General features: G+C 42.0%; 1 protein-coding gene and 1 long non-coding RNA gene across 7 annotated transcripts in view, besides 1 other annotated feature; one reads left to right on the top strand and one right to left on the bottom strand.

The window, feature by feature from the left end:
* The window catches only part of EXO5-DT (EXO5 divergent transcript), a 17,671-nt gene extending 8,364 nt beyond the window's left edge, over positions 1-9,307 (top strand). The window contains exon 2 of the long non-coding RNA NR_187365.1: positions 6,644-9,307. This is a non-coding gene — a long non-coding RNA (EXO5 divergent transcript). The remainder of the gene's footprint in view (positions 1-6,643) is intronic.
* On the bottom strand, positions 3,989-23,042 carry ZFP69 (ZFP69 zinc finger protein). 6 transcript variants are annotated; one of them, XM_005270809.5, is made up of 6 exons: positions 22,438-23,042; positions 20,844-21,316; positions 18,478-18,569; positions 11,118-11,244; positions 10,708-10,806; positions 3,989-5,411 (listed from the first exon to the last, which is right to left on the bottom strand). In XM_005270809.5, the coding sequence occupies exons 2-6, from the start codon at positions 20,968-20,970 to the stop codon at positions 4,273-4,275; spliced, it is 1,584 nt and encodes a 527-aa protein (XP_005270866.1). In that variant the 5' UTR covers positions 20,971-21,316; positions 22,438-23,042; the 3' UTR covers positions 3,989-4,272. The 6 variants fall into 6 exon arrangements, with proteins under 6 accessions (XP_005270866.1, XP_006710669.1, XP_006710668.1 ...); XM_006710606.4 differs by having other exon boundaries at positions 10,708-10,803; XM_006710605.4 differs by having other exon boundaries at positions 20,844-21,296.
* Positions 22,834-23,303: a silencer, noted in NCBI's record as "silent region_729". NCBI's record gives its function as "represses an Ori minimal core promoter by ATAC-STARR-seq in GM12878 lymphoblastoid cells {active_cell/tissue: GM12878}" and the evidence as "EXISTENCE:reporter gene assay evidence [ECO:0000049][PMID:35858748]".

Raw genomic sequence — 23,303 nt, 5'->3', positions numbered from 1 at the left:
CAGAATGAAGACAGAAACAGAGGTGAAAAATGGAGAGGAAAAAACGATTTGGGTTTCCCAAAGTCCTTCAAGACCTGGTCCTAGTCCACTGTTAGCATGTATCACAGCCCCTGAATTCCATGAGATACCCCAATATCCTTCTAATAACATCATCCTTCTTTGAGGCTTCAAGTAGCCCCAGTTGATTTCTAGTTATTTGCAACCTAAAGAATCCTAACATACTGACTTTGGTCAGAGCGCATATGGGAAGGAGAAAAGTAAATGGAAGTTGAAGCTATAAGGTAGGACTACACCTAATGATGATCTTAAGTGCCAGGCTTTGGATTGTAACTGAAGTAGCGGCTGTGGGGAGGGACCTGACGGGAAATCCATTAACACAGAATCACTAAAACTTTCATAGAATGTTATCAGATTGAAAAATAAAATGTTCAAAATCACTGGCCAGGCGCGGCGGCTCACACCTGTAATCCCAGCACTTCGGGAGGCTGAGGCGGGCAGATCACCAGGTCAGGAGATCAAGACCATCTTGGCTAACACGGTGAAACCCCGTCTCTACTAAAAATACAAAAAACTAGCTGGGCGTGGTGGCGGGCACCTGTGGTCCCAGCTACTCGGGAGGCTGAGGCAGGAGAATGGCGTGAACCCAGGAGGCGGAGCTTGCAGTGAGCCGAGACCGCGCCACTGCACTCCAGCCTGGGCGACAGAGAGAGACTCCGTCTCAAAAACAAACAAACAAAAAAAACAAAATCACTGTGGTGCTGGCTTTGCTATTTAGCTTTCACCACATCATAAGCAATTTTAATTAATGCTCATTCATTTTTATTAGAAAGTTGTGTCTCCTGCTGTCTCCTTCCATGTGTTAACTATAACTCACTAACACAAGCATCCTGTAAAATGCTATGTATGTTCAGACTATCAGTCATGGTAGACCCTGCCATCCTAAATACCTTGCCTCAATCATCAGTCCTCTTCCATTCCAATCAGGAGGATTGCAGCCAAGATTATATTCACAGCAATGAGTCCTTTTAAAGAGACCGATCCTTTTATCTTTTATAATCTAAAAGAACCCGTTTCCTTAAAAAGACTCTCATCCATCAAATAGTTCCAGCCTCATAAGTCAGAGACTGAAGCAGTTGGTGGAAAGGTGTCTCCTCGAGCTGAGACTTTGGTGAACTTGGCTACCAATCAAGAAGATGCAGATTCCTCTCTGGCTCCAGGTTTGGGAAGTGGTCACTGTTTCTAGGGGGTGCAGCTCAGCTGGTCCTTCTAGGCCATGTTATTGAAACAAGCTGATGCCCCTCAGATGGCAGACAGGTCTGTTGATCCAGGTGTAGGAGATGCTTCAGCATCAGATATGGCTCCTACAGTTACATATCTTGCCGGTGGGAAAATAAATACGTCCAAACCTCTATGAAGGTCCATTTGCCAATATCCATAATAAAAACACATATACTCTCGGCCGGGTGCAGGGGCTCACACCTGTAATCCCAGTACTTTGGGAGGCTGGGGCAGGTGGATTGTTGGAGGCCAGGAGTTCAAGACCAGCCTGGCCAACATGACAAAACCTTGTCTCTACTAAAATACAAAAGTTAGCTGGGCATGGTGGCACATGCCTGTAATCTCAGCTACTCAGGAGGCTGAGGCAGGAGAACCACTTGAGCCCAAGAGGCAGAGGTTGCAGTGAGCCGAGATTGTGCCATTGCACTCCAGCCTGGGAGACTATGTTTCAAAAAAAAAAAAAAAAACAAAACCAAAAAACAAACAAAAAACCCCCCACACATACTCTCTAACATAGAAATTCCAGTTCTAGGAATTTACCCTACATACTTACATGTGTGTGAAACAAAAATGTGTAAGACTATTCACTGAACACTGTATAAACAAAAGACTGAAACAAAATCCATCCATAGTGAAGTGTTAGAGTACATTTATACCATGGAATACTATGCAGCTATAGAAAAGAATAAGTAGGCACTTTATATAGTGAAGAGGAATGACATCTATGATATATTGTTTGGTTTTTGTTTTTGAGACAGGGTCTCACTCTGTTGCTCAGGCTGGAGTGCAGTTGGTATGATCATGGTTCACTGCAGCCTCAATCTCCCAGGCTCAAGCAAACCTCCACCTCAGCCTCCCAAGTAGCTGGGACCACAGGTGAGTGCCACCATCACACCTAGCTAATCTTTAATTTTTTTTCTAGAGACAGAGTATCACTATATCGCGCAAGCTGGTCTCAAACTCCTGGGCTCAAGCAGTCCTTCTGTCTTGGACTCCCAAAGTGCTGGGATTACAGGCATGAGCCAAGGCAACCGGCCTATATTATCATGTAATAAAAGTAACATGCAGGCTGCGCGCAGTGGCTCACGCCTGTAATCCCAGCACTTTGGGAGGCCGAGGTGGGTGGATCACCTGAGGTCAGGAGTTTGAGACCAGCTTGGCCAACATGGTGAAACCCCATCTCTACTAAAAATACAAATATCAGCTGGGTGTGATGGTACGCACCTGTAATCCCAGCTACTCAGGAGGCTCAGGTAGGAGAATCGCTTGAACCTGGAAGGTGGAGGTTGCAGTGATCCGAGATTGCGCCACTGCACTCCAGCCTGGGTGACAGAGTGAGACTCTGTCTCAGAAAGAACATGCAGATGTGTTTGTATAGGAGGTGGCCATTTCTGCTTAAAAAGACAAAGGAGGCCAGGCGTGGTTAACTCAACACCTGTAATCCTAGCACTTTGGGAGGCCGAGGTGGGCGGATTGCCTGAGGTCAGGAGTTCAAGACCAGTCTGGCCAGCATGGTGACACCCCGTCTCTACTAAAAATACAAAAATTAGCTAGGCATGGTGGTGGGTGCCTATAATCCCAGCTACTCGGGAAGCTGAGGAAGGAGAATTACTTGAACTCTGGAGGCGGAGGCTGCAGTGAGCTGAGATCCCGCCACCACACTCCAGCCTGGACAATAGAGTGAGACTCCGTCTCAAAACAAACACAAACAACAACAAAAAGACAAAGGAAAACCGTATATTTGTATTCTCTTGGATATAAATTTTAAAAAGCTGAATGGATGCACAAAAAATTATTAAAAATGGTTGCCTCTATATAGAAATCTATGGTGGGAAATACAGGAAGGCGGCTTTTCACTGCATATAATTGTTTCCACTTTCTGGACTTTACACCATGTGAAAGCTTTCCCCATTAAAAAATACATTATTTTATTCTTTTTTGTAGAGACGCCTGGGATTACAGGCGTGAGCCACTGCGCGCAGCCTGCATGTTACTTTTATTACATGATAATATAGGCCGGTTGCCTTGGCTCATGCCTGTAATCCCAGCACTTTGGGAGTCCAAGACAGAAGGACTGCTTGAGCCCAGGAGTTTGAGACCAGCTTGCGCGATATAGTGATACTCTGTCTCTAGAAAAAAAATTAAAGATTAGCTAGGTGTGATGGTGGCACTCACCTGTGGTCCCAGCTACTTGGGAGGCTGAGGTGGAGGTTTGCTTGAGCCTGGGAGATTGAGGCTGCAGTGAACCATGATCATACCAACTGCACTCCAGCCTGAGCAACAGAGTGAGACCCTGTCTCAAAAACAAAAACCAAACAATATATCATAGATGTCATTCCTCTTCACTATATAAAGTGCCTACTTATTCTTTTCTATAGCTGCCCACCTGAAATGCAGTGGTGATCACAGCTCATTGCAACCTTGAACTCCTGGGCTCAGGTGATCCTTCTGCTTCAGCCTTCTGCACAGCTAGGACTACAGGCGCATGCTACCATGCCTGGCTAATTTTTTAAAAACTTTTTTGCAGAGATGGGTCTTGCTATGTTGTCCAGGCTGGTCTTGACTTCTGGCAAGTGATCCTCCTTCCTTGACCTCCCAATTACAGGCACAAGCCACTATGCCTGGCCAAAAAAATAAAATTTTAATTTAAAAAATACGGTTGGTGATATTTTAAGCTATAGTTCCCAAATGCTGGTCTGCAAATCATGAATACCCATGAAGAATAATTTATTAATCCACCATGAAATCAGAAAAAAACTGTTATGAATTTTTCATAATGCTGAATTCATTTAATTTTAAGGACCAGATTTTAATCTTAAGTACTTTTTAGAGGTGTTAGTAGTCAATACCTGTCAATGTAATGTTTATTTACAATGGGAAAAATTAAAAGTTGGCATCATTACATCAATTCCTCATATCTGAGTCCTGAAATTTTAAAGCACTCTAAATCACCAATTTACACTTGGCTTTTGTTCTCAAGTCAAATATCTGTTTTTACACCTTATTTCGGAAGGCGTTCCTCCTGTGTATTTCATGATGTCGACTAAGTGAAGAGTTATAGCTGAAGGCTTTTCCACATTCGTTACATTCGTAAGGTTTTTCTCCAGTGTGATGTCTCTGATGTTTTTTAAAGGATGAATCATGCCTATAGGCTTTTCCACAGCGGTTGCATTCATATGCTTTCACTCCTGTATGAACAGTTTTATGGTTGCTAAGGTGTATCCTCTGCCTAAAGGCTTTTCCACATTCTTTACATTTGTAGGGTCTCTCCCCAGTATGGATTCTCTGGTGATGTGTTAGATACGCTCTATGACTAAAGGTTTTACAACATGCAGTGCATGCATAGGGCTTCTCCCCGGTATGAATTCTTATATGTTCACTAAGGTGTCTAATCTGTCTAAAGGTTTTCCCACATTCATTGCAAGTAAAAGGTTTCTCTCCAGAATGAGTCCTCAAATGTTGAACCAAGCTAATGTTCTGGCTGAAAGCTTTCTGACATTTATCACATACATAGGGTTTCTCCCCAGTGTGAGTTCTATGATGCTGATTAAGTGATGAGCGATGTCTGAAGGCTTTCCCACATTCCTCACATTCAAAGGGTTTCTCACCAGTATGGATTCTCTGGTGTGTACTGAGGGATGCACTTTGACTAAAGGCCCTTCCACATTCCTTACATCTGAAAGGTTTCTCACCAGTATGAATTCTCATATGTTCAGTAAGGTGAATAGGTTGTTTGAAGATTTTTTCACATATATTACATTCATAGGTTTTTGTTCTTATGTAACTTGTTGGATGATTAATCAAATCTAATTTGTATGTGTTCCGCTTTGTAGGTGTATCATATTTATGGTGCCTCTGTTCAATAATAACATTTGAATGCACAATGATATTTTCCCCAAATTTGTTAGTTTCTTGGACTCTCTTCTTATGGGTCAAGATGGCTTGTCTCACATCTCTCATACAAGTTTCCTGGTGCCTTTCTAAGACATCATCATATGTGGAGACTTTTCTCAACGTGGAATAAATTATATCATCCCTCATGAAACTTTCCATCATAATGCCATGATATAAGCGCTCCTGTGAAATGGTACTCTTTGCAGTTGACTCAATGGTTTCTATTTTACTCTTCAAGTCTGAAAGAAATGAAAAAAAGCTTTAAAAACCAATTACTGTAGTGGTTATGGAACAGAGATTTAGACAACAATATGGATAAGTGCATGAGATTTTGACTATATTTAAATATGATTATGCTGCTTGGAGAGGTAATGGGAAAGGAAATTAAGAAACAGTGAACAGGTTAAAAGTGTCATTTTATATATATATATATATTTGATATATATTTATATATATATAATGTATATTTTATATACCAAATATTTATAAATATATAAATATAAATAAATATATATTTTATATATAATGTATATTTTATATATAAAATATTTATAAATATATCAAATATTTATAAATATCATATAAATATTTGGGCCGGGCGCGGTGGCTCACGCCTGTAATCCCAGCACTTTGGGAGGCCGAGGCGGGCGGATCACGAGGTCAGGAGATCGAGACCATCCCGGCTAAAACGGTGAAACCCCGTCTCTACTAAAAATACAAAAAATTAGCCGGGCGTAGTGGCGGGCGCCTGTAGTCCCAGCTACTCGGGAGGCTGAGGCAGGAGAATGGCGTGAACCCGGGAGGCGGAGCTTGCAGTGAGCCGAGATCCCGCCACTGCACTCCAGCCTGGGCGACAGAGCGAGACTCCGTCTCAAAAAAAAAAAAAAAAAAAAAAAAAAAAAATTTTGAATCTTTTAGTCCTGCTCTAATAATACTAAGTAATAAAATTTCAGAGCTATGACTTAAGAATATAAGTATTTTTAATTGACAACTACTTTTGGAAAACAATCTCAGAAAGATAAAAGGAAGATGTTTCCCTCCCCACTCTGGCAGCAGCAGGAGACATTCGTTCAGAAAATACAGTTTGAACTAAGAATACACACAAGAACATTATGCTGTCTTTTATTGAAACTTGTGTGTGTGTATATATATATATTTCTCTTTCTATAGTTATTAATATGTTCATGGAAGTATTACTTATACAAAGGAGACTTGTAAGAAACCCAGATTGCTATGCTGTTACTGCTGCTAGGTTCTAGGAAAATACCCTTTAACCTTTAAGATTTTTACTTGATAAATTTGTTGCACCATTACTAATATTTCAACTGACAGGTCTTTATGTATTCCTGAAAGGTTTAATTTCTTATAAGATTTTTTTTAGCCAACACAGATGGATCATTAGCAATTCAAAATGTCAAATTCTAAATGACAACAGGCAATAATAATGTCTAATAATATCTATGCTCTGCAGGTCCCTGATTCTGGTCTTGAATAGCGGAGGAGGAAAAGAAGATGATGGGGGAAAAGAAAAGAAGCCATTTATGCATCCCTCCCTAATTCAGTATCCGAGCATGAGGGAGTGTCAAGCTAGTGGGGAAGAAGAGAGGGTTTAGTTTTGAATGAAGTTGGGAGTTTTTATTATTGCACTGAACTAAATAGGCATTTTACTAAAGTCAAGACTGTTCTTGTTATTTAAAGGAACGGGATCATCAATGGAACTCTTTGAGATTTCATCCAGAGGCTGGGAAAGAACATTCATGGTAGCTTTTATTATTATTTTCATTATTGTAAGTTGAGGAAGAGAAAACCCAGGAAAATATACAAAGAGTGATTGGAATTAATAAGAGTAAAACAAGGTGGCTGTATAAAAGGTCAATATTCAAAATCAATTTTGTTATTACTTACTAGCAACATAATTTTTTTTTTTTTTTTTTGAGACAGAGTTTCACTCTTGTTGCCCAGGCTGGAGTGCAACGGCGTGATCTTGGCTCACTGCAACCTCCACCTCCCGGGTTCAAGCGATTCTCCTGCCTCAGCCTCCCGAGTAGCTGGGATTACAGGCATGCACCGCCACACCTGGCTAATTTTGTATTTTTAGTACAGATGGAGTTTCACCATGTTGGTCAGGCTGGTCTCGAACTCCTGACCTCAGGTGATCTGCCCGCCTCAGCATCCCAAAATGCTGGGATTATAGGCATGAGCCACCGCACCTGGCCAGCAACATAATCTTTCTTTAAAAATATACCTGTTCACGACTGAGGCTCAGGGAAAAGAAAAGGAAAAAAAATACCATCTACAGTAGCAACAAAATATAAGATTTTCAGAATCAATCTAACAAAAAATGTACAATATGTACAGGAGAAAATCCTGAAATGTTACTGAAAAAAATTAGGAAATATCAATAAATGGAGTGCTATATCATATTCCTGGAAGGATTCAATAGCATAACAATGTTAACTCCCCCAAAATTGATCTAGAAATTCAATTCTATTCCAATCAAAATGCCAGCAGAGTATTTGTGGGTGTGATTTGATGCTCTGATTATATAATTCAAATAGAACAACAAGGATCCAAGAATAACCAGAACAACTTTAAAGAACAAGGTGGGTGAACTACCTCTACCACATATTAAGTCTCATTATGAGATACAGTTTTTAAGACAGCCTGGCATTAGAGTAAGGACAGAAAAACAAAAGAATAAAACAACATAAAGAGAGAAACACGACAGAAAAAGAATATACAAAACAGAAACAGACCCAAACATATAAAGAAACTTGACAGGTGACAGAGCAGCATTAACTATTCCTGGACTGATTATCCATGTGGAAAAAGTTAATCAGATTTCCACCTCATACATACAAATTTATTTATATAAAATAAATTCCAGATGAATTAAACCTAAATGTGGAAAGCAAAACTTTGAAAATACAGGAATATGTAAAAACATATATGTATGATCCACATATATGATAAAATGGAGGATAGCAGGGCACAGCAGCATGCACCTGTAGTCCTGCCTCAGCCTCTTTAGTAGGTGAGGTAGCTGAGGCAGAAGAATCACTTGAGCCCAGGAATTCGAGGCCAGCTTGGGCAACATAGCAAGACCCAGTCTCTAAAAACAATTTAAAAAGTTTACAAAAAAGAATAATAAGGCATAAAAGGGTTTCTTAAAAAGCACAAACAATAAAGAAAATCCTGATAAATTCAGTAACATTAAATTTAGAAACTCACGTCTAACAAAAGACACTAATTTTGAAAAGTCAAAGATGGGCCACTGACCTAGAGTAAACATTTGCAAAACATAAAGCTATCAAGGATTATTATCTAGAATGAATATATGTATAATTATACTAGAATGAATATATATATATATACACACACACACACACACACACATACACACACACATTTTTTTCTACCAATCAATAAGAAAAAAAGATTATAGAAACATTGGCAAGGGATATAAACAGGTAATTAACAGAAGAGCCTGGCATTAGAGTAAGGACAGAAGAAGAGATGGATGGATGGTCAATGAACATGAGAAATATACTTCCTTTCACTGGTAATCAGGAAAATGAAAGAAACAAGATACCATAACCCAGTGAATTTACAAAAATCTTAAAGTTTGACAATAACAAATGTTGACAAAGATGCTGAGTTATGGAAACTCTCAAACCCTGTTAATGGGAGAATAACCTGGTGTAACTGCTTTGAAGAGCAAATTGGTAATACCTAGCAAAATGAAAGTGCATATATTCTACAACCCAACAATTTTGCTTCTACCAGCTATCTTAGAGAAACACTTGCATTATGTATACAAGAAGTTATGTACACAAAGGTTTGCTGTAGCATCTTTGTAACTCCCAAATTTGGAAACAATGTAAATGTCTATCAACAGGAAAATGAATAAGAACATTGTGGTTTATTAACTCAATGGATTGAATGAACTAGAATAACATACTGAGGAATATCACCAGTGTTGAATGAGAAAAGCAAAAGGAAGAAGTATATATACCATTTATTTAAAGAAAGAGAACATGCAAAACAATGCTATATATTGTTTAGTATGTATACACTGATATATAGACTGCTTTTACTACATTATACATGTAATAAAAGCACGAAGACATGGGAATAATATTTCAATGCAGAGTGCTTATTTCAAAAGGTGTAAGGGGGACAGTGGAGCTTCAACTGTGTTTCATTTCTTAGTCTAGGTGGAAGCTACACAGAAATGTGTTATAATGTTTTCTATGCCTTTCTGAGTGTCTAAAATATTTCAGAATAAAAAGCAAAGTTTGAGGAGATTGTTAGGGACCCCGACATTTGGTTGAGAAGGAATCCTTTGGTAATTTCTCTTACAGGAGTTTTCATAAGTAGCTGTTACAAAAAAGATACATAAGTTAAAAAGAGAATGAGAATCGAAGCTGGAATTGTAAAATGAACATTGGCAAGAAGTAAAAATGGAGTGCAGGAAAATTAAAGATTTGTAGAATGCAATGGGAGTCTTGGAAAGAGATTGGTTTTCTGTGAAAATACCACATACATTTGACTGCTTAGAGAAAGCTTTAGATTGGCAGCCCTTAGGATACTGGAGAAAGGGAAAATCCAGCTCAACCTTAATGAGGACAAGACTGCTCTTTCCTCCAACTCCAGGGGACTTTTGCAAGGGCTCAGTGAAGGAAAGGGGTAAGGAAGGGACGGGTGATATTAGTTTAGTGGAGGCTCTGTCCAGTGGTCTGAGCCCTCCCCACAGCCGAGGCTTTGAGCACTCTGACCTACATATTAAAATTCCATCTGCCTTGGTGATTTGGTTTGAATATTTATCCCCTCCAAATCTCATGTTGAAATGTGATCCCCAGTGTTGCAGGTGGGGCCTGGTGGGAAGTGTTGGGTCATGGGGGTGGATCACTCATGAATGAGTGTCCTCCCCATGGTAATGAGTTCTCACTCTGAGTTCACATGAGATCTGGTTGTTTAAAAAGCCTGGCACCAGCCTGGCGCAGTGGCTCACACCTGAAATCCCAGCACCTTGGAAGGCCGAGGTGGGCAGATCACAAGGTCGAGATCAAGACCATCCTGGCCAACATGGTGAAACCCTGTCTCTACTAAAAATACAAAAATTAGCTGAGCGTGGTGGCGCATAACTGTAGTCCCAGCTACTCGGGAGGCTGAGGCAGGAGAATCGCTTGAACTCCAGAGGCGGAGGTTGCAGTGAGCCAAGATTGCGCCACTGCACTCCAGCCTGGCGACAGTGCGAGACTCTGTCTCAAAAAAAAAAAAAAAAAAAAAAGAAAAAGAAAAAGAGCCTGGCACCTCCTCCTTCACTCTCATGCTCCAGCTCCCACCATGTGATATGCCTTTCACCATGATTGTAAGTTTCCTGAGGCCCTCACCAGGAGCAGATGCCAGTGCCATGCTTCCTGTACAGCCTGCAGAATCATTAGCCAATTAAACTTCTTTTCTTTATAAATTATGAAGTTTCAGGTATTCCTTTATAGCAACACAAAAACAGACTAACACACTTGGTCTCACCTGAACTGGGATCTCCTGGGCCTTCTTTCTCTGCCATCCATGGCTCTTCTCCTTTCTCTAACTGGGATATCACACTAGGTTTGGAAAGTTGATATCCTGCTTATGTAGTAAAAAAAACAGTGTGAATGTTTATGCTGATGTCTAAGAACCATCCTCAGAATTTTGAGTCTTCTGGTATTCAGGGTCTCCACAAGTGGAAAGGGGTGGGTCTTTCTATCCTAACTATGTGTAGTAAAGTTGTTCCCCAAGAAAGTCAAATTGGATATGCCCTCACTTGGTTTTCAAAGGGAATAAGACATCTTTAATACAGAACCCAAATCAAGCCTCAAGGAATCTACACATCAATAATTTAAAATAATGACTCTCCTGTAATGGGTGGGTTTCTGGATGCATGGATAGCCAAGTCTTACCCACTGACACCAAGTTGCTGTAGTTCTCCAGCATCACCTCTCGGTATAGATTCTGGTGAGCAGGAGCCAGCTGCCCCCACTCTTCCTGGGTGAAGTCAATAGATATGTCCTTGAAAGTCAACAATTCCTAGAACATCAAATACATTCATTTTTAGCCGGAGACCACCTCTGTTAAGTTCCAAGGAGTTCTGACAGTATTCTAAATTCTGAGAGATTCTAAACTTACTTTTATCAGGAGCCTTCTCTGGATCTGTTTGGAGATCCTCTGATCTCCAAATCTGATCAACAAAACTGTCTGGAACTGTAGTCTGTCTGGATCTCTAATCTGGAGATTACTATAAATAATGTAATATATAGAAAGACAGATGGTGATACATACCTTAGAAAAAAATTAAGCAGGATAAGAGACATTGGGAGAACCACAGTGAGGGTAGGATGATCTTTTATGTAAAGTGGTTGGGGAAGACTCTCTAAAAGGGTGATGTTTGACCGGAGACATAAATTCAGTAAAGGGAAGAACCACATGGAAATCTGAGAGAAGAGCATCCTGGGCAGGTGCAAAGGACCTAAGGTGACAGTGTCCTTGGCTTGAGGAACAGGAAAGTGAACAGCATGGCTGGAGGTAGGCTGGTTGATGAGAGAGTGGAAAGAAATGAAATCAAGAGAGGTGGAGATGAGGAACAGGGTGGGATAGGGGTTCCCCCACCACCTCACGCACTTATTGTCACAAAGACCTGTGCATTCTTACTGAACTTGAATTCTGAGGCCCTGCTGGAGTTTAATGCAAAAATGAACAAAACTGTCTGGAACTGTAGTCTAATCCCTTCCTAAGCTCAAATGCCAAAAAGATAAAAAGAAAAGCCCTCAGCAATTGTGGCATGGGCTAATCAGAAGTATACTCAATCAAATTAAAGCTGCATGATAGCCAGAGCTCAGCCACAGCTCTAGGAGGAGCCCCTCACCTTAACCACCAGAGAGACGAAAGGGTTTGGAAATAGAACAAATCAAAACACATGAATAAACTATGTGTGTGTGTGTGTGTGTATACATACAAAACACACACATGTATGTATGTATATACACATGCACTCCTGCCTTGGCCCCTCAAAGTGTTCGCATTACAGGCATGAGACACCGTGCCCGGCTTAGAGATCACTTTTTTTTTTTTTTTTTTGAGACAGAGTCTCACCCTGTTGTCCAGGCTGGAGTGCAGTGGTGCGAGCTCAGCTCACTGCCACCTCCCGGGTTCAAGTGATTCTCCTGCCTCAGCCTCCCAGGTAGCTGGTATTACAGGCGCACGCCACCACGCCCAGCTAATTTTTGTATTTTTAGTAGAGACCGGGTTTCACCATGTTGGTCAGACTGGTCTCGAACTCCTGGCCTCAGGTGATTCGCCCACCTCAGCCTCCTGAAGTGCTGGGATTACAGGCGTGAGCCACCGCGCCCGGCCTGAGAGATCACTTTTTACTGTGATATGCAATTTACCGGAGAGATGAAGTGCTAATGCAGAGATGCTTAGCATCACACTGAATTTTAAGTAAATACTTGAAACACCTGAGCGCACTACAATAGCCACAGGAGATAGCTATAAAATTATCATACTAATACACTAGGTGTACTATAGTTTATTTTATGCAGTAGTGATTTAATACTGCATCTTTACATTTGTTTACATTTCTCTCAACTGAGAATGGCACCATGAATAGTCTGTGCACATAAGCTTTGAAAATTTTTAACTTTTTATAATAGATACGTGTATCTCTTATGGTAGTAAATGATAAAATAGACTAGTACCTACATATATTTTATGTATTCATAACATACCTAACTTTTTCTTAATTTTTTTGATACTCCTAGGCTACATGGTCCATCTGCAAGTTTTTTCAAATTGTCACAAATCTCCAAAAAATGTTTCAATATATTTATTGAAAAAAGTCTATATAGAAGTGGACCTGCACAGTTCAAACCTGCGCTGCTCAAGAATCAACTGTAGGCCGGGCGCAGTGGCTCATGCCTGTAATCCCAGCACTTTGGGAGGCTGATGCGGGCGGATCATGAGGTCAAGATATCAAGACCATCCTGGCCAACATGGTGAAACCCTGTCTCTACTAAAAATACAAAAATTAGCTGGGCATGGTGGTGCATGCCTGTAGTCCCAGCTACTCGGAAGGCTGAGGCAGAAGAATCACTTGAACCCGGGAGGCGGAGGTTGCAGTGAGCCGAGATCTCGCCACTGCACTCCAGCCTGGTGACAGAGCAAGACTCCATCTTAAAAAAAAAAAAAAAAAATCAACTGTAAATGAAAATTCTACAAGTGAAAAAGACAATATCTAAAAATTCATTGGATGGGCTTAAAGTAGATTAGACCATGATGAGATAAGATCAGTGAAACTTAAGATGGGTCAATAAATATTATTCAAACTAGAGTACCAAGAGAAAAAAATCTGTGGGATAATATCAAGTGGTCTATTATACATGTAATTAGAATCTCAGGGCTAGGTGGGATGGCTCCTGCCTGTAATCCTAGCACTTTGGAAGGCCAAGGCAGGAGGACTGCTTGAGCTCAAGAGTTTGAGACCAGCCTAGGCAACATAGGAAGACCCTGTCTCTACAAAAAAAAATACAAAAATTAGCCAGGCATGGTGGCGCACACTTGTAGCCCCAGCTGCTCAGGAGGCTGAGGCAGGAGGATCACTTAAGCCTGAGAGGTAGTGGTGGGAGGGAGGGAGGGAGGGAGGAAGAAAGGAGGGAGGGAGGGATGGAGGGAGGGAGGAAGGGAAGGAAGGAAGGAAGGGAGGGAGGGAGGAAAGGAGGGAGGAAGGGAGGAAGGGAAGCAGGGAGGGAGAAAGAGCAATCTCAGAAGAGGGAATAGGTAGAAAAAATATTTGAAAAATAATGGCTGAAGATTTTCCAAACTAATAGGAAAAAAAATCAACCCACAGATCCAAGAAGCTCAGCAAACCCCAAAAAGGATAAACTCAAAAATCACAGCAAGGCACAGTGGCTCATGCCTGTAATCCCAGCACTTTGGGAGGCTATGGTGGCAGATCACTTGAGGTCAGGAGTTTGAGACCAGCCTGGCCAACATGGTGAAACCCCATCTCTACTAAAAATACACAAAATAAAAAATAAAATAAAATAAAATAAGGCGGGTGTGGTAGTTTACATCTGTTATCCTAGCTACTTGAGAGGCTGATGTGAGAGGATTGCTTGAACCCAGGAGGTGGAGGTTGCAGTGGGCCAAGATCATGCCACTGCACTCCTGCCTGGGTGACAGAGCAAGACTCCGTCTCAAAAAACAACAACAACAACAACAAATCACACCTATGCACATCAGATAAAAGTTGATATAAAACAGATACATCACATAAAAAGAATAACACCTGCCTTCTCATCACAGATAATACAATCTAAAAGATAATGGAACATTTTTAAACTACTTAAAGAAAAAGCAGTCAACCTAGAATTCTTTATCCAATAAGATCCTCAAATAGGAAGATAATATAAAGAAATGTTTAGATCAATAAAAGTGAGAATTTGTCACCAGAACACCCACATTATAAGAAATGCTAAACAAAGTTCTTTAAGCTGAAGGGAAATGATGCAAGATAGAAACCTGGAATGAAAGGGAAAAAGGAAGAGTGCCTAAATGGATAAATATGAGGGCAAATAAGAAAGACATGTTTTTTTCCATTTTCATAATTTGTTATAAGACAGTTTACTATTAAAAGCAAAATTAAGAACAATATACTGTGGTGTTTTTACATGTAAAACAAAATGTATATTGACAACACACTAAGAGTGGGAAGGAGTATATGAAAATATAACGTAAGTCTTTCATATGATATGTGAAGCCATAAAACATTAATTCAAAGTAACTGTGGAATGTTACTTTTGTAACATGTGTAATGTTAAATACATTTGTAACATTCCACAGTTACTTTGAATTAATATTATATGGCCTCACATATAATATGATTGTTTTTAGTGGTTGTTAGGGCAACCACTAAAAATAAAGAACTGGCCAGACTCAGTGGTTCACGCCTGTAATCCCAGCACTTTGGGAGGCCAAGGTGGGTGGATCACCTGAGGTCAGGATTTCGAGACCAGCCCGGCCACCATGGCAAAACCCAGTCTCTACTAAAAATACAAAAATTAGCCAGGCATGGTGGTGGGAGCCTGTAATCCCAGCTACTCGAGAGGCTGAGGCAGGAGAATCGCTTGAACCTGGAAGGCAGAGGTTGCAGTGAGCCGAGATCATGCCACTGCACTCCAGCCTGGGCAACAAGAGTGAAACTCCATATCAAAAAAAAAAAAAAAAAAAAAAAAAAGCAGGCCAGGCGCAGTGGCTCATGCCTGTAATCTCAGCCCTTTGGGAGGGAGAGGCGGGCGGATCACGAGGTCAGGAGATCAAGACCATCCTGGCTAACACAGTAAAACCTCGTCTCTGCTAAAAATACAAAAAAAAAATTAGCCGGGTGTGGTGGCACGCGCCTGTAGTCCCAGCTACTCAGGAGGCTAAGGCAGAATTGCTTGAACCCAGGACGTAGAGGTTGCAATGAGCCAAGATTGCACCACTGCACTCCAGCCTGGGCAACAGAGCAAGACTCTGTCTCAATTAAAAAAAAAAAATCAAAGAACTGTAGCTTAAAAGTCATTAGAGGACATCAAATGGAATACTGGAAAAATGATTCAATGCAAAAGAAGGCAGAAAAAGGCTGGGCACGGTGGCTCACACCTGTAATCCCAGCACTTTCGGAGGCTGAGGTGGGCAGGTAACTTGAGGTTAAGAGCTTGAGACCAGCCTAGCCAACATGGTGAAACCCCATCTCTACTAAAAATACAAAATTAGCCAGGTGTGGTGGCAGGCACCTGTAATCTCAGCTACTCGGGAGGCTGAGGCTGGAGAATCGCTTGAACCCAGGAGGTGGAGGTTGTAGTGAGCTGAGATCGCACCACTGCAGTCCAGCCTGGGTGACAGAGGGAGACTCTGTCTTTAAAAAACAAAACCAAACAAAAAGAAGGCAGGAAAAGAGAAACAAATAAACAAAGGCTAGATAGGACAAATAGCAAACAAAAGTATACACTTAGACCCAACCATACTGATTGTTTTATTTATTTTATTTATTTATTTTTTTTGAGACGGAGTTTTGCTCTTGTTGCCCAGGCTAGAGTGCAATGGCGCAATCTCGGCTCATGCAACCTCCGCCTCCCGGGTTCAAGTGATTCTCCTGCCTCAGCCGCCAGAGTAGCTGGGATTACAGGCACACACCACCACGTCCAGCTAATATTGTATTTGTAGTAGAGACGGGGTTTCTCGATGTTGGACAGGCTGGTCTTGAACTCCTGACCTCAGGTGATCTTTCTGCCTCTGGCTCCCAAAGTGCTGGGACCACAGGCATGAGCCACCATGCCCGGCCACTTAAGCTTTTTACAATCTCAGTGTCCTCAAATAAGAAGGTCAAATGCTAATATCTGCCATCTAGGATTGGAATATATTGCAGCTTTATTTCTAGTAATATGGAAGAAGTAACGATAATAGTCTGAAGAGTTATCGCTACATTCTACTTATCTGGAATTTTTCACTTCCTACATTTATCATAAACTGATGGGTTTAAAGGATTAAATTTTTTTAAACTGAAGTACAATTTACATACAGGAAAATACACTAAGAAAGTGTACAGTTTGGGCTGGGTGCAGTGGCTCGTCTGTAATCCCAGCACTTTGGGAGGCCGAGGCAGAAGGATTGTTTGAGCTGAAGAGTTTGAGACCAGTTGGACAACATAGTAAGACCCTATTTTTTCTGTCATTTTTTTAATTGGCAAAGTATGGTGGCATGTTCCTGTAGTCCTAGCTACTTGGGAGGCTTAGGCAGGAGAACTGCTTGAGCCCAAGAGTTTGAGGTTGCAATGAGTTATGATTGTACCACTGCACTGCAGCCTGAGCTACAAAGTGAGACTCAGTCTCTAAAAAAAAAAAAAAAAAAAATTAAAAAAGGTGTATGGTTTGATTTTGACATATGTAACATAATGTAATCAAGATAGAGAACATTTCCACCATCTCAGAACGTTCCTTCATGCCCCTTTTTAAACGGTATTCCACTCCACCCCCAGTTGATCCACCAGTTTATTCCACCCCACCCGCAGATCTCATTTAAAAATGAGATCTCTATTTTTAAAAAGAATATATGTTCTGTAGTTGTTAGACGTAGTGTTCCGTAAGTGTTAATTAGGTTAAATTGGTTGATAGTGTTGTTCAAATCTTCTGTATCCTTGATGAGTTTTTGTCTACTGGTTACATCAATTACTGAGAAAGAAGTGTTAAAGTTTCTAATTACTGTGATTTTGTCTATATCTCTCTTTAGTTCTGTCAATTTTGCTTTATTTTGAAGTTCTGTCATCACATGTATAAACACTTAGAATTGTTGACCCTCTTATTATTATGAAATGTCCCTTTTTGCCTAGGAATACTCCTTTTCCAGAAGTCCACTTTGCGTGATATAATATATGCCTCCAATGTTCTTTTAATTATTGTTTGTACGGTATAGCTTTTTTCATCTTTTTACTTTAAACTTGAAACTGTCTCAAAAAAAAACAAAAGCTAAAGTAATTGCCCCAGATCACTGAGCAACTAGACAAATGTTATACCATCTAATTTCAGCACTCCAGTTCATTTCACTTCAAACCCTTCTGTCCTCCAATAAGATCTCCTCTTTTAAGTCTTTCTTTCACATTTATTCTACAATTTTCCTTCCATTTCATCTCTGTTTCCGATAGGCAGTACTGACTATCCCATTTGTGACATGCTGTTGTAGCTGCTCTCAGTGGCTACTCTAGCTTTTCTGGCCAGCCCGTCTGATGTGTGCACTGTGTGGCCTATTTCTTTTCTACTCACTTCTCCTTTGGTTCTGGTTTGACCTCTGTTTTCAATATTACACTAAGGGTCACCTCTCAAAGTTCACAGTAATTCATGTACATCACTAAGAAAGAACCTTCTTACACATTTTGATTTTGAGTATTTCATTGAGATTTCTCTTAGATCTCATGTGGTATCGGTTGGTTTTTAGGGGCTAGAATTATATCTCTCATTTCACTTTCTTTATAGAAAGTAGCATCATACTAGATTCAGATGTTGGTGAGAAACAAGAGTGACATGGAGGGAGACCCCTATAAGTAGGGGAATTGCCACCACTGGAGCCCAATTTTCTGTAAAAGGACAACTTGCATTGAGCTCCTTAGGTTGAATTTGTTAGTCTTAATACCCTACCTCACCACCACTCCCACCTCTGCAAAAAAGACAGGTTATATACCCTAAAAACAGGAGAAGCAATGTCAAGAAAATGAGATGAATCCCTACTCACCTGGGATTCTGCTGTCGGGAGTCCAGGGGTCACTTCATCCTCTAAACTTTCTCTCTGGGTCTTTACGTCCTCAGCATCCTGAGACAGCAGAGCTGGGGAAGGAAAAGAGCCATGAGCTTTGCATCTCCCCAAATCTCCCAAATAAAGAAATTGCCTGCAGACCCACTCAATGTGGCTCCTCCCCCAAAAAGGTTCACAAAGAGGGACACTGAGAGTGACTCAAGAGCAGCCTGAAGCCTCCTTAGTGAGGAGGACCTGCTGCAAGTCGCTTTGGGCATTAATGTTTCCCAGTGATCAAAAACTATGTATGAGAGAACAAAGTATTTAAATGGAGAATCCTTTAAATCCCACTCCCCCCTCCAAAAAACTCTACCAATGGTCAATACTGGTCCAAAAGCACAGCTCTAACAGGCCACTCCTTTGTTCAAAAATCCTCAAAGGTTCCCCACTGACAAGAAGGAAAAATCCAAACACTTCACCATGGACTTCAAGGCACTCTACAATCTGCCCAAAGCATATTTTCTCAACAATGGGTACTGCTACTTTATACCTGGGACACACCCACCCACCCACCACATTATTAGTCTTTCAGACTAAAGATTCTCAGTCAGACTAAAGATGCCCCATTTTCTTCAAGGCACCCACTTTTGTATCCTTTCCCCAAATCTACACAAAAAACCTAAGACATTCTTCAAGGCCCAAATCAATGCTACCTGCTCTGTGAAAATTTCTTAAATACATACAACCAGGCCGGGCGCAGTGGCTCATGCCTGTAATCTCAGAACTTTGGGAGGCCGAGGCAGGTGGATCACGAGGTCAGGAGTTCGAGACCAGCCTGGCCATTATGGTGAAACCCCAGCTCTACTAAAAATATAAAAACTGTAACAACGTAAAAGCTAATTAAGGTCACAAACTTCGATGAAACCCTTGAAGTCCAAATCTTCTTGATATTGTGAATTGTACTCCTTCCAGTTTAGTTTCTTCTGGACTTTCCTTAACTGACTACCTTTTAATTTTAATTTAAATTTGCACACATTATGATTAAAATTGGGCCTCTACTGTGATGATTCCTATTTCCTCTCATGTTTGAAAGTACAAACTAACATTCAAATAAACATTAGCATCAAGTAGTGCAGACATTTGTATGCATTTCCTTGATTCAATTTGTTGTGACCTTACCAGTTTTGAAGTGGAATTGCACCATTTTGTAGATAAAGGAAACTAAGTATATTGCTGCACTTTTAAGTTTTCAAAACAGTGTTTGAAAATTGCATGGTTTTTTTTTTTTAACTCAGTTTAAAAAGACTAAAATGTTCTTTCAAAAGAGGCATCTAACTGTGTTCCTAATTCTGTATATGGGCTTAGGTTTTGTAACCAATAAAAAAAAAACTGCTATCAAATATGTAAAAAGCAATGCAAAAATTAGCCAGGCGTGGTGGCAGGCACCTGTAGTCCCAGCTGCTCAGGAGGCTGAGGCAGGAGAATCGCTTGAACCTGGGAGGCAGGAGTTGCAGTGAGCTGAGATTGCACCACTGCACTCCAGCCTGGGCGACACAGCGAGACTCCATCACCAAAAAAAAAAAAAAATCACAACCAGAACAAAGTTTTCCGTCGCTTGTGTTCCAAAATAACTTTTCTTAGGCTGCTTTCTATTATTTTGATTGAGGTGTATGCCTATCTCAATCCATTGGTAATCAGAATTAGAGATAATTATTCATTTTTCCATCTTTTAAGATGTTTAGCCAAAGTCCCTGCCTGACACAGCTAGAACAATAAATACTGGCTGAGTGTAAAGCATTAAAGGTATGAATTAAAACACCACATGAGACACATGACTTCCTCCATCCTTCTATTTACTCCTAACCAGACCACTAAATAAGGTGTGATTGTTGGGCATCTCTCCCACAGTTCAAGGTAACATGAGAGTAATCTGGCATGTCATTCCTGCCTCTCAGCAGATGAAAAGAAAAAACTGATACTTGTGATAAATATTGGGTTGGGGCTAAAATGACTGGAACCTGTGCAGGAAAACCCTTAGAGGACTTAAGGAGGGCAGAAATCTTAGACCTGTCTGTGAATCACATTCCCACACTCAGGCACCACTGGTGGGGAACACCTTGTATTCTGTCTTCCTGCTACATGTAGTATTTGAAGATGGGAGATGAGAGCAGCTGCAAGCACGTGTCACAAGGAGTCCATGCTGGACCCCAAGATTTTCCCTCACAGCTGTCCCCTTCCCAAAAACCACAAGAATGAACCCCCAGAGACCTTCTCTCCCTCCTTCTCTCCACTTCAATGAAGTGTGTACCTATCTTTTCACACACAAATGAGATCCCCTTCTTCCCCCTCCATCAGTCCATTCTCACCTTCTCCTTCAAACATTTTAGTCACATCCTCCCACAGGGGCGCCCCCTCCACGGCCTTCTTTGGATGTTGCAGCTTCACCCAGGTGCTGGCCTCGGTAGGCAGGGTGATCAGGAGCTGCTGTGGCATGATGCCTGCCTTACTGGACTTGTCCACTTCTGGTGAGGAAATTGCCAGAAGCTCTTGATGAGACGCTTCACAGTTGTGGGGTGTTGCTCAGATTCCAATCACCTGCCCTCAGGACTCTGGTGTGTCCCTGCAGCACCAGGACCTGGGGGTTCCTAGAGACTGATGTGACTTTAACAATTCTGGAAAACAAACTCCCCTTTAAATCAAGCACTTTCTTTGGGAGGCAGCCAGTTAGTTAGGTTTGAGTTCATGTCTCCATACTCTTTAGAGGAGCAAAAGGGAAGGGAAGAGGGATCCAGAAGCACTTGTCTCCAGAACTCCAGAATCTGCAGAAATATATTTAAAACTGCAAAATACCCAAAAGAAAAATATCCATGCAGGAATAAATATAATACATGTTCCTGGACGTGGCTCTATCTCCAGTTCTATACATACATACACAAACATGCAAAGATGTACAAACATGCACAGACCATGCCTCATCTTCCCTCCTTGTAAGCTGCATGCATCTTCTGCCTGGACACAGACGGGGTTTAAGAGGGCAGGCTTTGAAATCAGACAGCCTGGCTTAGAAACCTGACACTTGCACTTAAAAGCTCTATGACACTTCAACTCTCAGCTTCAGTTTCTTAATCTATAAAATGGAGATAATAATTGTATTCTATAGAGTTGTAATGTTGGTTGAGACAATGCTAGGCATACAGTAAACCCTTAATGAACATTGTTATAAACCTGTTATCATATTGCTGAATCATAGTATTAATTTTTAAAGTTATTTTTAGAAACCATTAAATCTGAATTTAAAGTTCAAAATATCTCAACTGACAGAATAATGACATAGCTGCATTTTGGCATGAACAAGCAGTGACAGCCACGTCACCACCCACGCAGATGCCCAGCAGCTGGCAAGTTCCTTGGAACCACACTGGGAAGATGCATCTTGGTTTCAGAAATGTTAAAATTGGGGAAGAGGGTATGTCTTCAAATGGTGTAAATTTAGTATAATGAGGACTACTGCAGAATAGTAATAGGCAAATTTGGAAACAACTCAAATCCATCATCTCAACCAAACCCTAGAATCTGAGCAGGTGCTTTGACCGTGACCAGGTCCAAAGTATACGGCACTCCAAGAACAGTCGGAGCTACGTGGGAAGGGAGCTGGCCCAACTTTTTGAAGTTTGTTGGAGAAGGATGGGTATGTGACTTATAGGCGTGTGTGTGTGTGTGTGTGTGTGTGTGACTATATGCAGAGACAGGAGCTGCGTGTGTTCTAGGAATTGGAGCTTGTGAGAAATATCCCACCCCTGAATACATAAAAAGTCTTGTTACCAAAGTGCACGAATTTTCGAATCTTACTCGGGAAACAGTTAATGGCTGAGAAGCTTCATATCGAAGATGCCCCACCCTCACAGTGCTCCCAGACATGCCACCCTCGGACTCAAAGACTGCACACAGACTCCTACTCACCACATCGGCCTTGGACCCAGGTAGGACCAGAGACGGGGGCGTGGGAGTGCTCACTCTTGAGGTTTTCAGCGGTAAAGAGTGTCTCTTTAGAGACGGACTGAGTGGTAACAGATATTGTTCCCTCCCGGCCTTTTATAGACAGACCACATCTCCACTCAACGCAATCATTCTCCAAGAAGCGTCCAGCGTTGAGGTCGGCTTCCTTCGGAAGCCCGGAGGACCCTCGGCCTCCGGAGTGGACGAGGGTCTGCTCCACATTCCCATCAAGGGCCCGCCCAGGCGGGTGGGCTTTCCCAGCAGCGCCCCCAGGAGCGAGGCTTTGAGGGCCGGAATGGGAGGGATGCCCTGAGCCGGCGTCTTGCAGACCCCGGGGAGGATACACCTCCCTGGCTGCCGCTTTAACACGGGGCTGGCGGCTGCAGCCAAGCCCACCCAGCCTGGCCTCTTAGGCCGCAGCCGGGTGTCTCGCCTGGCCTCTGCCTCCGGCCGCGCCCTCCCGGCCGCTTGCACCGCCGGCCGCTCTCGCTGCAGCCCTGGCGGTCCCGGGGCCCACCCCACGCGGTCCCGCTGCAGCTGCCACAACCCGCGCGTCTTCCGGCGGGTTGTGAGCCCCGGCCGCCGGCTCCGCCCACAGGGGGCTGCCACGGAGCCCGCCCTCTCCCGGGAAGCAGCGCGCGCCCTCGAACCCGGAAGCTGGAAGCCGCCCGAGCGCGCCCCCGAGGGCCGTCCGGAACCGTGGGTAGCGGCCACCCACCCACGCCGCCCCCCGTTTCCTCACAGCGGTCCTTGGGAGACCTCCTTCAGCCTTTCCGGTGAAGCGCCTTCCCTGTCATTCATTCATTCACTCATTCATTCATTCATTCATT

This window comes from Homo sapiens, chromosome 1 (assembly GCF_000001405.40).
Source record: "Homo sapiens chromosome 1, GRCh38.p14 Primary Assembly".
NCBI classification, from domain to species: domain Eukaryota; kingdom Metazoa; phylum Chordata; class Mammalia; order Primates; family Hominidae; genus Homo; species Homo sapiens.
This window is presented reverse-complemented; position numbering and strand designations above follow the sequence as displayed.

What these genes read in the sequence shown, in the direction of transcription:
- ZFP69 (XM_005270809.5), bottom strand. Translation starts at nt 20,970, where the DNA reads ATGCCACAGCAGCTCCTGATCACCCTGCCTACCGAGGCCAGCACCTGG. An exon ending in CAGCAACTTGGTGTCAGTGG is followed by an intron (nt 10,807 to 11,117) that starts GTAAGACTTGGC and finishes TTACTACATAAG; the next exon opens with CAGGATATCAACTTTCCAAA. An exon ending in CCCAGGAGATCCCAGTTCAG is followed by an intron (nt 5,412 to 10,707) that starts GTGAGACCAAGT and finishes CATTTCTTTCAG; the next exon opens with ACTTGAAGAGTAAAATAGAA.